This window comes from Homo sapiens, chromosome 14 (genome assembly GCF_000001405.40).
Source record: "Homo sapiens chromosome 14, GRCh38.p14 Primary Assembly".
In the NCBI taxonomy this organism is placed as follows: Eukaryota; Metazoa; Chordata; class Mammalia; order Primates; family Hominidae; genus Homo; species Homo sapiens.
In genome coordinates this window covers 53,346,622-53,363,526 of record NC_000014.9, presented here as the reverse complement: position 1 = coordinate 53,363,526, position 16,905 = coordinate 53,346,622, and the positions used below count along the sequence as shown (strand labels likewise).

At 40.6% G+C, this 16,905-nt stretch overlaps 1 long non-coding RNA gene across 4 annotated transcripts in view, besides 1 other annotated feature; it reads right to left on the bottom strand.

Annotated features, from left to right (window-relative positions):
* The window catches only part of LOC105370504 (uncharacterized), a 402,142-nt gene that overhangs the window by 359,267 nt on the left and 25,970 nt on the right, over window positions 1-16,905 (bottom strand). For all 4 annotated transcript variants that reach the window (XR_943876.3, XR_001750975.3, XR_007064173.1 and 1 more), the window contains exon 1: window positions 13,226-16,905. This exon is cut by the window's right edge and continues 25,970 nt beyond it. This is a non-coding gene — a long non-coding RNA (uncharacterized LOC105370504). The remainder of the gene's footprint in view (window positions 1-13,225) is intronic.
* Window positions 7,267-8,027: an enhancer, noted in NCBI's record as "OCT4-NANOG-H3K27ac-H3K4me1 hESC enhancer chr14:53822218-53822978 (GRCh37/hg19 assembly coordinates)". NCBI's record gives its function as "activates a minimal SCP1, AML or CMV promoter by ChIP-STARR-seq in primed H9 embryonic stem cells {active_cell/tissue: H9 hESC(primed)}" and the evidence as "EXISTENCE:reporter gene assay evidence [ECO:0000049][PMID:30033119]".

Sequence of the window (16,905 nt, the reverse complement as noted above, 5' to 3'; positions counted from 1 at the left end):
TGTATCTCAACTTGAATTGTATCTCTCAGAATTCCCACATGTTGTAGGAGGGACCCAGGGGAAGTAATTGAATCATGGGGGCCAGTCTTTCCTATGCTATTCTCATGATAGTGAATAAGTCTCATGAGATCTGATGGGTTTATCAGAGGTTTCTGCTTTTGCTTCTTCCTCATTTTCTCTTGCCACCACCATGTAAGAAGTGCCTTTCACTTCCCACTGTGATTCTGGGGCCTCCCCAGCCATGTGGAACTGTAAGTCCAATTAAACCTCTTTTTCTTACCAGTCTCAGGTATGTGTTTATCAGCAGTGTGAAAACAGACTAATATAGTCAGACACAGAAAGACAGATACTACATGTTCTCATTCATAAGTAGGAGCTAAAAAATGTGGACACATGAACACAGAGAGTGGTATGATAGATGACAGAGACTTGGAAGGGTGAAAGGGCCAGGGTGTGGATGATGAGAAATTACTGAATGAGTAATGTTCATTATTCAGGATATGCATATCTTTTTCTTTTTTTGAAGTTGCAAGATTTAATAGAGTGAAATAGAGTGAAAACAGAGCTCCCATACAAAGGGAGGGGACCCAAAGGGGGTTGCCGTTGCCGGCTCGAATGCCTGGGTTTATATCCCGATCCTTGCCCCTCCTGCTGTGCTCTCAGGCAATAAATGATTGGCTATTTCTTTACCTCCTGTTTTTGCCTAATTAGCATTTTAGTGAGCTCTGATTGGTTGGGTGTGAGCTAAGTTGCAAGCCCCGTGTTTAAAGGTGGATGCAGTCACCTTCCCAGCTAGGCTTAGGGATTCTTAGTCGGCCTAGGGAATCCAGCTAGTCCTGTCTCTCAGTCCCCCCTCTCAATAGGAAAACCCAAGTGCTGTTGGGGAGGTTGATCGACGACTGCTCTAACTGCTTCCTGCTGAACTGGGGCGTAGTAGGGGTTGTGCGGTTGAGATTTCCTCGGGAGGGGTGCCTTCGATGTCATTAACATCGGAGCATGGGCTAGCAGGCCGGTCTAGGGGTCTGCTGTAGATCTTAAGTTATGGACTGCATCTGGGGCTCCATTTGAAGAACGATTTGTAGTTTTACAGCTTCAATTCTGGAAGATACAAACTTAACAAGGAGGTTAAAGATACAGGGATTTAAATGTATGGCCTGCAGTGCAGAGGATTATTTCTTTGGCACACTTTACAGGCCCTGACTATCTGCTTGATAGTTTTGAAAAGGCCTGGTCCAGTAAATAATAATTTGGCCATCTGATGGGTGCTATCAATGCCTAAGTGGAAGGTTTGGTGAAGGGTTTTAAGTAATTTCTATTGGTTAGCTGCAGGCAAAAGTATTTTTCCTTCTTCGGTGGCTAGCCATCTGGAGGGGAGGAAAGTATGTCCTTGTGAGGTTCCTTATTTTATTTTTCCTGCTGAGTACTGGGGCTTGGTTTCCCAGAGGGGATTACCCTATACTAGGGGTCCTTCTATAAGCATTTTTAATGGAGGGTCCTGCCTTGTGGCTCTTTTGACTTTAATATCCGCTTGGTGGTTTTCTTCTATTTTAAAGCTCCTCAGTCACAGCTTAGTGGCTGGGAGAAGTATCTAGAGACTGGCTGTCATATGACCCCTAGGATAGTGACAGATCTGGAGGACAGTTATCTGGGATAGGAGAGTAAGACTGAGAAGGCCGCGCCAGTGTCCAAGAGACAGTTAACCTCCTGGCCCTCAATGTTCAAGCACATCTGGGGCTCTGTGAGGGTGATGGCATGGGCTGGCACTTGCCCCGGGCACCCTCAGTCCTGCTGCTGGATCATCTGGTTAGTGGCTTCTGACTCAGAGGACCTTCGTCCCCTGGGCCAGTGGGCCTTCCAGTGATTCCTTTGACACAAGGAGCATAGGATATGGATATCTTAAAGCCCTGACATGACCACTACCCGATCTATGCATATAACAAAATTGCACTTGTGCCCCATAAATTTATGCAAATAAAAATAAAAATTATTGAATTGTACACATTGTAGAAAATATTATATAAAAACAATAATGGCAAATACGTATTGAGCTCTGTATCCAGGAGCTAGAATGTTTACATCTATTACTTAATCTTTACAACAATCCTGATGAATAGGTACTATTATTCCTATTTCACAGATGACAAAATTGAAGAGTAATGATTAAGTAATTTTCTTGAAGTCAAACAGCTAGTAAATGGTAGAACGAAGGCTCTAGTCTGAACTTCATGACTCAAGAATTTAATCACCATGCCAGAGCTTCCTTAAAGGTATTCTTCGGCATACTGGTATGCTCTAAATTTGTTACAGGTGTGGCAAAATATAGATCCTCCTTTCAGTCCCTGGAATAATCAGGCAGGACCTAGGGCAGGCAGAACCCCAGGCTAGTCTCTTTAGTCCAAGAGCAGCCTCACCAGTTTACACCAAGTGTCATGTTCATTTTGCATAGGCACCATAACTCAAAGCCCCACCCCAGCTTATAATTATGCTATCTTACACTACAGCTGTTCACTCTCCCCACAAGGGGCTGAAATGATTGACCCAGGATCATATTTGGGGTTTGTGGTAAAGCTGTACTGGCCCCCAGGCTTCCAGGCAAGGGCTTTTTCCACCATGCCATGAGGATTTCTATGTCATGATAGAATGTCTGACTAGATGACATGACAGCAACTGCCCTGAAGTCAAAATAATTTGAGATTTAAACACACACACACACACACACACACACACACCATTTTCAAGAACATAGAGATATAGACTAGAAAGACCCTGGGCTTCATCTTTAACTGCTGTCTCTTCCACACACCTGATTGATAACCACGTTCCAGCCCTCCTATCTTCTAACTATCTTTTGATTCCATCTATTTCTTTCCACCTGCACTGCCATTACCACATTCCTGGTCATGCATCTTCTGCCTGGATTACCTCAATGGTGACATAACTGGTCTCCACGCAGCCATCACTGCCCTCACTACTGATGCTCTATGCTGTAGCCTAAGTGATTTTCCTAAAGTATAGATCCTGTCATGTCACTGCCCTCCTGAAAACATTTCAGTAGGCCAGGCTTAGTGGCTCATGCTAGTAATCCTAATGCTTTCAGAGGCCAAGACGGGTGGATTGCTTGAGCCCAGAAATTTGAAACGAGCCTGGGCAACATGGCGAAACCCCAACTCCACCAAAAAAATATAAAAATTAGCCAGGTGTGGTGGCACACACCCGTAGTCCCAGATACTCGGGAGGCATAGGTGAGAGGATGGCTTAGCTTGGGAGGCAGAGGCTAGAGTGAGCTAAGATAGTGCTACTGCACTCCAGCCTGGGCAACAGAGCCAAACCCTGTCTCAAAAGAACAACAACAACAAAAATAACCTTCCACTGACCACAGAGGGAAGTCCAAACTCCTTATTATAGATGGCTTTCACCTTCACACTCTTCCTATAGCCAGAATATTCTCAGTTCTGCAAACCATGGTGTGCAGACAGTGGGTCTTTGCACATGATGTTCCCACAGCCTTACCTGAGTGATATGGTTTGGCTGTGTCCCCACCCAAATCTCATCTTGAACTGTAGCTCCCATAATTCCCATGTGTTGTGGGAGGGATCCAATGGGAGATAATTGAATCATGGGGGCAGTTCTCCCATCCTGTTCTCATGGTAATGAATAATTCTCATGAGATCTGATGATTTTATTAGGGGAAACCCCTTTCCCTTGGTTCTCTTTCTCTTCTCTTGTCTGCCGCCACATGAGATGTGCCTTTTGCCTTCCGCCATGATTGTGAGGCCTCCCCACCCATGTGGAATTGTGAGTCCATTATACCTCTTTCTTTTGTAAATTGCCCAGTCTCGGGTATGTCTTTATCAGCAGCATGAAAACAGACTAATACACTGAGGTTCACAGGTTTGCCTAAACAAATAGAAAACCATCTGGATTCTGTTTTATGCAAAAGCAGGTTATTTTCCTTCTACCAAAAGATAAAGATGTTGACCCTCCTCTCTGTTCTTCATCTGGCTAACTCCTAACTCATCCTTCAGAGCTCAATTTAGAAGATCCAGAATGCCTCCTCTCTTTTCCTCCCCCAACCCTCAAACGAACCACTCTGTTGTGGACCTTATGTGTCTCCCTACTGTCAGTCTTACCTTCTAGTCTGCAAATCTGGAGAGCAGGTCTCCAGGGCATTTGCTGGTTGCACAGATGTTCAGTGGCCAATGCACAGTACATTGAAAGAGCTCAACACATTTTAAATCAATGAAAGAATAACATAAATAAAAAACATAATAATGCAGAACTGGATTAACCTTTTCTCTCCAATAACAGATTACACCTAAAATCCATTCAGTAGCTTTAGTCCTTTAACTACCCTTTTTGAGGAAAGCAATGAGATGCAAAACACCTAGACAGCTTGTCTACCAAGCTGGCACACCATGAAAACCATCATCCCAGCAGCTCAGCTCCTTGGTAAAAATGAGAGATGAACTGTAATTTTCAACCAGAATACAATTAATTTGGCTAGTTTAATATCTTAACACCTATTGTGTTCATTGGAAAATAGCAAAATGTAAACATTAACCCATCTTGAATACAGCTCTGTAAATAATATGTTTATATATGTATGTATGGGGAAGGACTAGAGAACAGAAAAATAAACACAGTTGATCTGTTGGGATGATAGACATAAAACATAGATGATCGGCTATTTTTATATTATATTAATATTATTTATATTCATACCATTGTGCTAATGAATATTTTTTAATATTAATGTCTAACAAACATTTGTTCTGATGGCAAATCAATAAATACAATAGATAGAGCTGATTACTCTATTTGATTTCCAATACATAATACAGTTTACTTAAGAACTCACAATAATCATAATACAGGCAACATGTACTGACCACTTAGTATATCCAGGCACTGAGCAAAGTGTTATTCTTTCTCCTTTTTACAAAAGAAAAATTCAGTGTAAAGAAGTTGAGTGACTTGCCAGTAAGTTAAAAGCTAGAGTGATGATTTTATGTGTGAACTTGGCTTGGCCATGGTGACCAGTTGTGTGGACAAACACTAGTCTAGATATCTCTGTAAAGGTATTTTTTTATGTGATTAACACTTAAAATTAGTTGACTTTAAGTAAAACAGATTACCATCCATAATGTGGGTGGGCCTCATTTAATCAGTTGAAGGCCTAAACAGCAAAGACTCAGGTTTCCTGAAAAAGCAGTTCTGCCTCCAGACTGATGCAGAGATTCTGCCTGAGTTTCTGGCCTTCAGACTTAACACTGAAATATCCACTCTTACCTGAATCTCTAACCTACTGGCTTACCCTACAGATTTCAAATTCAACAGTGCACATGCTCATTCTCTTTCTCTACTATATATTTATATCTATACATAGTATAGATATTGTACATGTATTCTATGTTATTATATATGTAGTGTATATTATATATCTATTTATGGACTATATAAAGAGATATATATATATATATATATAACCAAAAGGAGATATATATGTATGCGTATATGCGTATATACACACACACATACACACACGGTCATGTATTAACCTCAGGGATATGCTCTAAGACATGCACCTTTATTTATTTGTTATGTGAATATCATAGAGTATACTGACATCAGCCTAGATGGTATAGCCTACTATACGATATAGCCTACTATACGATATATCCTATTACTCCTAGGCTACAAATCTGTTACAGCACTGAATACTGTAGGCAGTTGTAACACAAAGGTAAGTATTTGTGTATCTAAAACATAGAAAAGGTAGAGTAAAAATACTGTATAAAAGATTAAAATGGTACACCTGCATAGGGCACTTAACATGGATGGTGCTTGCAGGACTAGAAATTGTTCTGGGTGAGTGAGTGAGTGGTGACTGAATATAAAAACCTAGACCATTACCGTATGCAACTGTAGACTTTATAAACACTGTATAGTTAGGCTACACTAAACACATTTAATTTTTTTTCTCCTATAAGTAAACCTTAGCTTACTATAACTTTTTTACTTTATAAACATTTTTAAACTTTTTTACTTCTGTAATAACACTTAGCTTAAAACACAAACACACTGTACAGCCATACAAAAATATTTTCTTTATATCCTTGTTCTATAAGCTTTTTATTCATTTTTAATTTTTTCAACTATTTAAACTTTTTTGTTAAAAACTAAGACAGGCACACACATTAGGCCTACACAGGATTAGAATTATCCAAATCACTGTCTTTCACCTCCACATCTCATCCCACTGGAAGGTCTTCAAGGGCAATAAAACACATGGAGCCTGTCATCTTATGTAACAGTGCCTTCTTCTAGAAAACTCCTGAGGACCTGTTTGAGGCTGTTTTATAGTTAACTCTTTTTTTAAGTAGTATACTCTAAAATAACCATAAAAATTATACTATAGTGTATATATAAACCAGTAACATAGTTGTTTATTATCAAGTATTATGTGCTATACATAATTGTATGAGCTATATGTTTATACAACTTTTAGACACAGGTTTGTTTCCACCAGCATCACCACAAACACGTGAGTAATGTGTTGTGCTATGCAGTTATGACAGCTATAAGGTCACTGTGTGATGGGAATTTTTCAGCTCCAACATAATCTTATGGGACCACTGTAATATATGCCACCCATTGTTCATCAAAATGTCATCATGTAGCACATGACTGTGTGTGTGTGATTAGATAGATATAGATAGATTATACAGAGATAAAAAGAGATATAAGATATAGATCCTACCAGCTTTGTGCCTCTGGAGAACACTAATACAGCTAATAAATAGTGTCACTAGGATTTGAATTCTGTAAAGCCACTGCTTGTAACTGTTACCAGAATAAGCTATATTACCAACTTGCATCTAAGAGTTTGTCTACAGAGCAGGCCATTTGGCTGGAGGACAGTTCAGCTGTGCTGGGCACGGGGCAGTTGTGGGCATTGTTGAGCAGCAAAGAGCTCAGCATGACCTCCTTCCCTTTGCCCCCCTCGGCACAACAGTGCTTCCCCGTGGCTTTACCCTGGTTCCCAAACCCTTTCCAGTGCCCTCTTTTACAAGATGGAGACAAAAATGAAACTCTCTGCATTTCACTTCCCAGAGACACAATCTTCCATGGTTTTCTTCTTTTGCCCTCCTGCTAGCTTTGCTTATTTCAATCACAACAGTGAGACAGAACCACCACCTGTGACTCTTGGGAAACAACATGCCATTAAGGAAAAAAAGAGGAAAAAATTAAAGTGCTGCAGGGAAGATTTACATTCTTCTTGCAAAAAAGGATTTCAGAAAAAAAAAAAGTATTGCTGAGTAAAATCACGAAAGTTTCTATCCTTAAAAGAAATGTAAGAACAAGGCTGGTTTTTTTCATGGCTTTCTGGGACATTTTAGGTTTGGCTCACTATAACCGCTCAAAGATGTAGCTGATGCCTTTGCAAGTTTCCGTCCAGCCCCACTGCCCTGTGAGTGCAGCAGGCACCATGGAAGGACGGGAGCATGCACAAGCCTCCATGCCCCTCTCCCAGTCTAAATGGGCCCTGGCAGGCCCAGGCAAGGGCTGTGGGCCTGGGCTGATAGCACTTCCTCCTCCATTTCTGAGCAGCACTCACAGTTTGAAAGTCCTGGCACTTAGCAAGCTTCCTGCTGAGCTGTAAAGTCATTCCAGACAAATCCCTGTGTTTACAGAGATTCCAGAGCAGCAGGGAACATCTCAGAATACCAGTCTGGACGTGGAAATTAGTGTATCTGTGCTAAGCTGCTCTCCACACCTGCCCTGGCCATCTCCCCCGCCTTCCACAACCCCTCCTCTCCTTTCTTCTCTACATCTGCTGTGGTTTCCTTCACACTGAGTCATCCTGGATGTTAATAGTGAAGTCCTTTAAGAATCAAGCTAAGCCAGAGGGAGTGAAGAGGAAAGGAAGCAAATTGGAGAAATAAATAAAAGAGGGAAGAAAGAAGAGAAAGTGGGAAAAAGAAAAGAAGTGTGCATGGGGAGCTCTGATCCAGAGACTTTTCTCAGAGTCTTAAGGAGTCAGAAACGACCTAGTATTAAGAAACTGGTGGTTCCATAAACCATGTAAACAGCTATGGTATATCACCCCATCTTGTTACTGCCTACACCCTTAACGTGAATGCAAACTTTAACCAGAGATAGAGGACTGAATTTAGATTCGAAAGACAGTTTTCAGACCTAACTTCACTACTTTCCAGCTGTTTAACTTCTCTAGGTTTCAGTTTTCTAAATCTTGAAAATGGGAATGAAATACTGCTTTGCGTAATTTCAGGGCTGATATAAAGATAAAATGAGACCATCTGTATGAAATGCCTGTTAGCTATACAAATAAGATACTTTTATTAAATTCAATAAGCGGCAAATGTTTCTTACTATTTGTTCTTTCTGCTTTTCAACCTCTGGAAAATCTTTTGCAGAAGTGCCTTCCAACCACCATAACTGGTTATTTTTGAAGTACATAGGAAAGCTCTAAAATGGAAAGTAAAGCTAAAAATTGCCATCAGGTGGGGTTTCAAAGACAGCATTAAGTGATCCAGAGTCATTCTATAAGCTCTGTTCAGATCCATCAATAGCCCATTTCTTCGGTGTCAGTGTATATGTAACTGGAAAGTGGCAGGTAATCTTTCTAATACCTGTTGTTTACAGAGATCAAGAGAAAATTACACCTCACTTACTATTATATATATCTTAGCCAGTTCTTAATCACAGCTTTTCCTTCTTAGATTCCTCTGTAAGCATATGAGCTGTTCTCAATGAGCTTTAAACCACATTTCAAGTAAATTCTTATGTAACCAGGTAACCCAGGATGAGGCTAGGCTCCCAGGTTTCAGAACCCTTTATGAGAAAAACTGAAAAGAAAGTTGCCAAAGCTGCTGAGATCCCACATGTGCTTTTATTTAAGACCAAATAACCCAGACTTTAGGGAATGTGCTTATGTCAATCAATTATATATTGGACCACACCTCTATGGGTGGGGGTAGGGTTTCCCCCTGAAGAGAATGGCTATTTCCCCCATCAATCATCCTGGGGAAGGGTCAATACTGGGTCAGGAAACAAGGGCTTGGACAAGCAGTCCTAAGGCTGAAGTCAGGGAATAATTTTCTTCTCTCTCTGCATTCAGAATTTTGGTTTGATCAGGACTCTGTGGCAGGGAGCTGCCTGGAGAAGTTCCACTAATAGGGGTTGAGACATCCCAGGCCACAGAAGGGACAGACCAAGAGAGTTCTGAGAGCATCTCAGGAAGATTCTAAGATATTCTAGTATCTCCTCATCAACAGTTATATTTTGCTGAAGGTTACCATTTGGACTTTACTGAACTACATCCCACCCATGATATGACTTGGATGAGCGAGAGGTGTGGCCCTGTCCCAAATGACTGGGACAGTGATGCAGCAGTCGCCATCAGGACCTAGCTGTGCTGCGTGAGGCAGAGATCTCTGGAGGGTCCTCAGAGATGATAATGGCAGCCACCACTACCAGCCGGAACTACCTTCCAGATCACCCAGCACCTAGGCCTGCATGTGACATAAGATTCACCTGAGGATCTCGTTAAATAGCCAGTTCTGACTCGGTAGGTCTAGAGTGGGGTCCAAGAGTCCGAAGTTCTAGCAAGATCCCAGGTGATACTAATGCTGCTTGCTGGTCCTCACACCACACCTATAACGCCCTGAGGTTCAGGTCTAAGAAGGGGCTCCATCGGCCAGCAGAGAGGGCAACCCAGACTTGCGGTAAGACACAAGTAAGCATGCCCAAGCATGACCTGGATTCATATCCAGGGAGGATGACCCCAGGGGAAGACAAGCTAAGGTCCTTATTGATTAGGGAAATACTAACTCTAACTTGCTGTACTTTGTAGAACAAACTTAAGGGTGAGGTGTTTGCAACCCCAAGCTAGCAAACAGTGGACCTACCTACACTTAAATATCCAACCATCTCAGAATCAGAAGAGTGAACACAAAATTTTTTTTTTTTTGAGTGCAGTGGTGTGATCTTGGCTCACTGCAACTTCTGCCTCCCAGGTTTAAGCAATTCTCCTGCCTCAGCCTCCTGAGTAGCTGAGATTACAGGCACGCATCACCACACCCGGCTAATTTTTGTATTTTTAGTAGAAAAGAGGTTTCACCATGTTGGTCAGGCTGGTCTCAAACTCCTGGCCTTGTGATCTGCCCGCCTTGGCTTCCCAAAGTGCTGGGATTATAGGCATGAGCCACCGTGCCTGGCCAATTATCTTTTTAATGCTTTATAGTTACATTGTAGTAAAGTGAAAAAGCACTGAGAACATGAGCAGAGAGCAGTCAGAATGGAAGACTTAGAGGCTTGCTGCTATGTAGACGGCCTTGGAACTTTAGAACCCACTAGCTTCCTGCCCCACTATTTTGTTACCAGTGGCAAATTCACTTCTATACGGGTCTGCAACAACCTCAATTCTTGCCCCCCTCAGAAGAAAGAATTCGACTGAGGAGCATAAGGCAGAAGGAGAGACTGAGGCAAGTTTTAGAGCAGGAGTGAAAGTTTATCCAAAAGTTTTAGCGCCAGAATGAAAGGAAAAAAAGAAAGTACACTCAGAAGAGGGCTAAGTGGGCAACTTGGGAGATCAAGTGCACCGTGTGACCGTTTGACTTGGGGGTTTTATATGTTGGCTTACTCCCAGGGTCTCGCGTTACTTTGCCCCGATTCTTCCCTTGGGGTAGGTTGTCTGCAAGCATGTGCTTGAGCCCACTCACCCAACTCCTGAGATCTTCTCAGGAAGCTGCTGATGACCATTTTCAGGTGTTTTCTATCTATTAGGAGCGTGCCTTTCCCTGGCGCCAGCTGTGACCAATTATTATTTTAGAGAGCCCGTTAACAACCACCTGACCATCATCTGATGGTCACCTGACAGTCCTGATGTGAGGAGTTGGGGGAGCCCTCTCCAGCCTTGCTGATGCCTGACCAGCCACTACTGTGACACTTTAATTCGAAAAATAATCATTGAACATCTACTCTGTCCTAGTCACTGATGAACCAAGCAGCAAGGTATCTGGTCTTGTGGAGCTTCCATTCTGATGGAGGAGACAATGACTAAGTAAAAAATATGTGAGATAACTATGAAGGAAATAAAGAGGGTGATCTGTGATAGAGAATAAGTGGGTGTGGGCAATTCTCTAGAGAGTGATACTCAAAGTGAGACCTGAAGGATAAGAACAAACATTTAAAGGCAGAAGATGCAGCAAGAAAAAAAGGCCTGAGCCAGGGGAACCTGTGATATGTTTGAGGAAGAGAAAAGAGGCCTAGTAGTTGAAGAAGTAGCAACCAGAACAAGCGTGGCCTGGAATCTTTTGAGTTGTGCATGGAAGAGATAATGATGGGGTGGACCAGGGTTTGGCAAACTGTAAAGTACCAGATAAAAAATATTTTAGGCTTTGCAGGCCAATAGGAAAATCAAGGATGTTATGTAGGTACTTCTATAACAGAGAGGAAAAGTTCCACAAATTTTTTACTGATGAAATTCAAAACATAATAATTGGGAATAATTTTTTGTAATACAGGTCTACTAATGAGAAGAATGGAATTCTCTTGGGGAGGGGTAACATTTTACTTCATTGGGGTTCAAAATTAGTGTTAGTTATCAAAATTGGTTGAAATGTTGGTGTTCATCTCTTACTGTTGATCTGTAATGAGATTTTACATACTCCATCTTTGAAAATATATTTCACAAAGATTTTAACAAATACTGATATCTCCCACAAACATATGATTTTCATTGAGCATATTCACCACTCAGGAGGAATTTATGGAATTCTATTAGATTCTTCTCTTGATATCTGCCTTTTGGCATATCCTTGCATTTCAGATTAATTGAAGGTTAGGTGGAAGTTCCTCAACTGTCCATTAAATGGATTTCAAAATATGAAATGTGCACTGCAATGAGGTCCTGAAACACTGTTGGAACTGCAGTTTAAGCTCAGAAAACATATCTGCCACAAATTTGTGTGAAAATAGAGATCCTGCTTCTTATTTTAACTTTTGACAGCATGGAAAATGTATTTGATCTTGCCATTACTTATTGTTGAAACAACACTAGTTCTCATCAAAATGACTTTTCCACGTTAAATTTCAATAGAAGCACTGTCTTATAATGTAATTTTAGATTAAATTTATTAGAAAACATTATCATATCTGCAACAAGGTTTCCAAAGCCATTCAACATTCAATAATAGTGATTCAGGACAAGTCTTCTTGTTCAGGAAAATTTCAATTGCAGTTTGAGAAATTGCAATAAAACTATGCTATTGCTAAGCCATCAAACTGTGGTGTGGTAGGGCAAGTCATGGTATTCAGCATCTATTTCTGACAAAAATTCATGGAACTAATGTCTAGGGTGGTACCCCAAAGCACTCCAATATGTAGTCATCAGATAGAGAAGGAAAGAAGATAGAGAAGTAGAAACCAGCAAAAGATATTCAAGGGGAGCAGCCTTAAGTAGGAAGGAAACCAGAGGAAAGAAGAGTATTAAAAGGAAGTTAAAAGTTGCTGAAAGGTCAGATAAGCTGACCAAAAAAAAAAAAAAAGCATCACTGGTTTGGAGGTGATTGGTAATGACCTTGCAAATGTAGTTTCCATCCTGTAGTAGGAAAGAAACAAGATTGAAGTGAGTCCAACAGAGAGTGGAAAACAGGACAGAAATCTCATCTAAGATGTTTTTCTGTTAAGTGGGCACAGAGAAATGCAGCCACAGATAGAGGAAGTCATGGTAGCAAAGAAGAAAGGTTTTTGTTTAGTTTTGGTGATTTTTTTTTTTTAATCTCCATCCTTCAACAAGAAATCACAAAGCCTTGTACACATACCGGTCTACTGAAAATGTGAAAGTGACCACAGTAAGGCTCAATGGCCAGGCATCCATGAAGTGTGAGATATTCCACATACAAGGCTTTGGCAGACAACTAATTTACCCTAGTATGCATTAAATATTTTAGTTTTTATGCATTTTTGTGTAAGTCTTGCCAAAATATACTAACTGATTCTCTACTTTCTGAATCATATTATGGACAGCAATTATATTCTGGACTACATAGTACAGCGATGTCCTCTCAGGGAGTATAAAAGTGGGTTTGAATATGTGCTACCTCACAAGATGATCCCAGAAAACTAGAGATTTTCAATTAGCTTTGAATCTCTTTAAGATCATCAGCTGTTCCTCGCAGTCATAGATGTGCAAGTTTACCTGGCCCAGTGGATCTCAGTGTGGCTGCAGAGTAGAATTGCCTGCTGGGGGTCAGGGAGAGGTTTTTAAAAATACCAGTGCCAGGCCGGGTGTGGTGGCTCACGCCTGTAATCCCAGCATTTTGGGAGGCCCAGGCAGGTGGATCAGGAGGTCGGGAGATCCAGACCATCCTGGTTAACACGGTGAAACCCCATCTCTACTAAAAATACAAAAAATTAGCCGAGCATGGTGGTGGGCGCCTGTAGTCCCAGCTACTCGGGAGGCTGAGGCAGGAGAATGGCGTGAACCCGGGAAGCGGAGCTTGCAGTGAGCCGAGATTGCACCACTGCACTCCAGCCTGGGCAGCAGAGCGAGACTCCGTCTCAAAAAAAAAAAAAAAAGGCAGTGCCAAGATACCAAAGATTCTGACCCAATCCATGTGAGGTGGGGCCTGAGCATTAGAGGTTTTTTTTTCTTTAGTTTTGGCAGGTGGTTCTAACATGCAACAAGGGTTGAAAATCATTGATAGGACTCTAACTTCATCTTTTAAGATGAGCAAACAGATCCACAGAGGTTGTATAAAATAGAAGCACATAACTTCCAGTAGTCAGTGTACTATGCCTCTTTGAAAGATCCTTGTCCCCAACTTGTATATAGGCCAGGAGATTAATTCATTCACTGGAACATTTGTTGAGCTCTTACTATGTGCTAGAATCCAGTCAAAGCACCTACAGACAAAGGTAAATACGACAGTGGGTTAGTGGTGAGTAGTTCAGAATCCACGGGGTTAAAACTGCAAAAATAAAATTATAGTTAAATGTATGATAATTATTTATACCATGGAGTACAGACTAGGGAATGACTGAAGACTATCTAAAATCAAAGAAAGTAGTTCTGGGCAGGAGCCTGAATACAGAGCATGAGCTTTAGTGGCAACACAATTCCTACTGAAACCACAGAACCATGATAGGCCAGTAAACAGCCTGTAGAGCATCACTGCAACCAGCTGACCCTAAACTAGATTTGCCTACATCAATCCCCTTTTCTTGTGAAATGTTGTGGGTTTAGCTTTTTATAATTATAAGCCCTGACTTTGCCTTTGTTCAAGGAGACCGCCTCCACAGAGGCTGTTCTTCCTTGTCTATACCATCAAATCCTTGGTGCTTTAAATACTCGTCTCTGAGTTGTTATTTAACCTATCTACTTTATATGCTTACGTGTTTCTCACTTCAAAGACTTCACTTGTGTTCAAGTGCAGGACACTTAAGGAGCATTCTTAAGTAATTTCTGGATAAGACAGCTACAGCTATGGAAAGAGAGCTTAACTTAAAATGTAAAGTGCACTTAATGTATGCCAGAAATGTCCTAGGTGCTTTGCATGAAATTTACTTATTCCTTAAGGAACTCTCTGAGCTAGGTACTGTTAATATCATACCCATTTTGCAGAAGAGAAAACTGAGACAAGCAAGATTAAGCAACTAGCACAGAGTCTCGATTGGTAAGGCTTTGAACCCAGGCATCTGATTCCAGAGCCAACATGCTCTGTACTACTCCATACTGAATACTGATAAGAAATGTGCAGATCCTACCAAAAGGCAGAAAGGAAGCTTAACTGAGGGACATAAAAGAGGACCAATTACATTGAAAACCATACTATATTCCTGGAAGGACATGCTCAATACTCAATGTCAATTTTTCTTCCTCTACCAGATTAATTTGTAAATTGAATGAAATTCTGACTAAGATCTCAGAGACTTTTCCAGAACCAAGCAAACATTGTTCTTTTAGATATAAAAGTCAACCCAATGAAAAAATATTCAAAGTGAAGAATAATGAAAGACAATCAGCTCTACTAAATAATGAATTGCACTACAAAGATATCATAACTAAGAAAGAATGATAGCAGTAGAATAGCAGCTATATCAAGGGAAGAAGACACCCAGAAATAAAGCCAAGTAGGTATGTGACATATGATAAATATTACATTTCAAATCTGTGGGAAAACAGATTGTTCTTATCGAATTGTAAATATAATTAGTAAATTATTTGGGATAAGAATTAAGATGGATCCTCACCTTATACCTAATACCAAAAAAAAAAAAAAAAATCCCAGCTGTATTGTAAAAAAAGGAAGCCATAACAAAGCTAGAAAAGAAGTGAGTTTTGAGGAGCCTTGTTTGTTTGCTTGCTTGATTATTCTTAGAATTATGGATTGAAAAAGGTCTTTCAAATCATGATACAGAAGGAGATGATTGGGAGATTTAGATCAGTAGATGCAGATGAACAGATTTCTACAAGTAATATCTTACCAGACGCTATATTTATTTTATTTTATTTATTTTATTTATTTTATGTTATGTTATGTTATGTTATGTTATGTTATGTTATGTTATGTTATTTTATTTTATTTATACAGAGTCTGTTCCTGTTGCCCCAGGCTGGAGTGCAGTGGCATGATCTTGGCTGACTGCAACCTCCACCTCCTGGGTTCAAGTGATTCTCATGTCTCAGCTACCCAAGTAGCTGGGATTACAGGCATACACTACCATGCCCAGCTAATTCTTGTATTTTTGGTAGAGAGGGGAGTTTTGCTATGTCTTGGCCAGGCTGGTCTTAAACTCCTGGCCTCAAGCAATCTGCCTGCCTCAGCCTCCCAAAGTGCTGGGATTACAGGTGAGAGCCACTGCGCCTGGCCCAGATGCCTAATTTAAAAAAGATAAAAGCAGATATGTTTTGATTGACAGTGAATGAACCCTGGAACCCTCCCTGACTGCAGTGCCTGAAATACTTCCACAGAACCCCTGGGGTAGAATGGAATTCTATAAGATTCTTAATTAAAATGCAGATTCCTGGGCCCATCTCATACCTACTGAAGGAGAATCCCTGGAGCTAGGACTTTGAGTTTTAAGCAAACCTCAATAAATACTTATGTACGCTACATTTTGAGGGTCACCATATGGACCTGAGCAATAGGGAGCACAGTTTGAAAGGAGAACAGCAATCACCTAACAATAGATTCAGGAGCAACTGGGTCCTTACACTCCTTCAAAGCCAGCCCAGAACCACCTCTAGGGAGAAGAGCCCCCAGAGGCCGGGAAGCAGATAGTTTGAGATGGAGAATTTAAGCATAACTTGAGAGCACGTCTTGGGAGAGTGAGTAATCAAAAGTGCAGTGAGATGTTATTTAACACCTTGTATTCTAGAAGCTGAGAACAAACTGAAACCGAAAAGCTTGTAATAAGTAATAAAAATTGCCTGAGGTGGCCAAAATATTAGGAACACTAAACCAAGTGGTAGAAGAGCTGACTTAAGTCAGTAACAGAAACACATTATTTGTGTTTAATCACCTTGTATACTTTACAAGATTTGCTTCAAATAAACTATTTTGCAAGTTTTAATCTACTTTTAAGTTTTTTATTTTTATAATTTCAAAAATATTATCCTTTCCTTGTAAAAATTTAAACCACACTGAAATATTTTCAGTAAAAGTCCCCCATGCCCTCAGGGACAACTGTCATGAAGTTTGTGTATTTTTCTGATTATTTTTCTATGCACAAGTCATGTATTTTATTATACTATTACAATTACATAAAAATAGCAACATACTATAAAACTGTTCTATAACTTGATTTTTAACAACACTTTGTGGACATTTGTTCCTCTTAGAATGTAGAAGTTATACCTCATTCTTTTAAACGGCC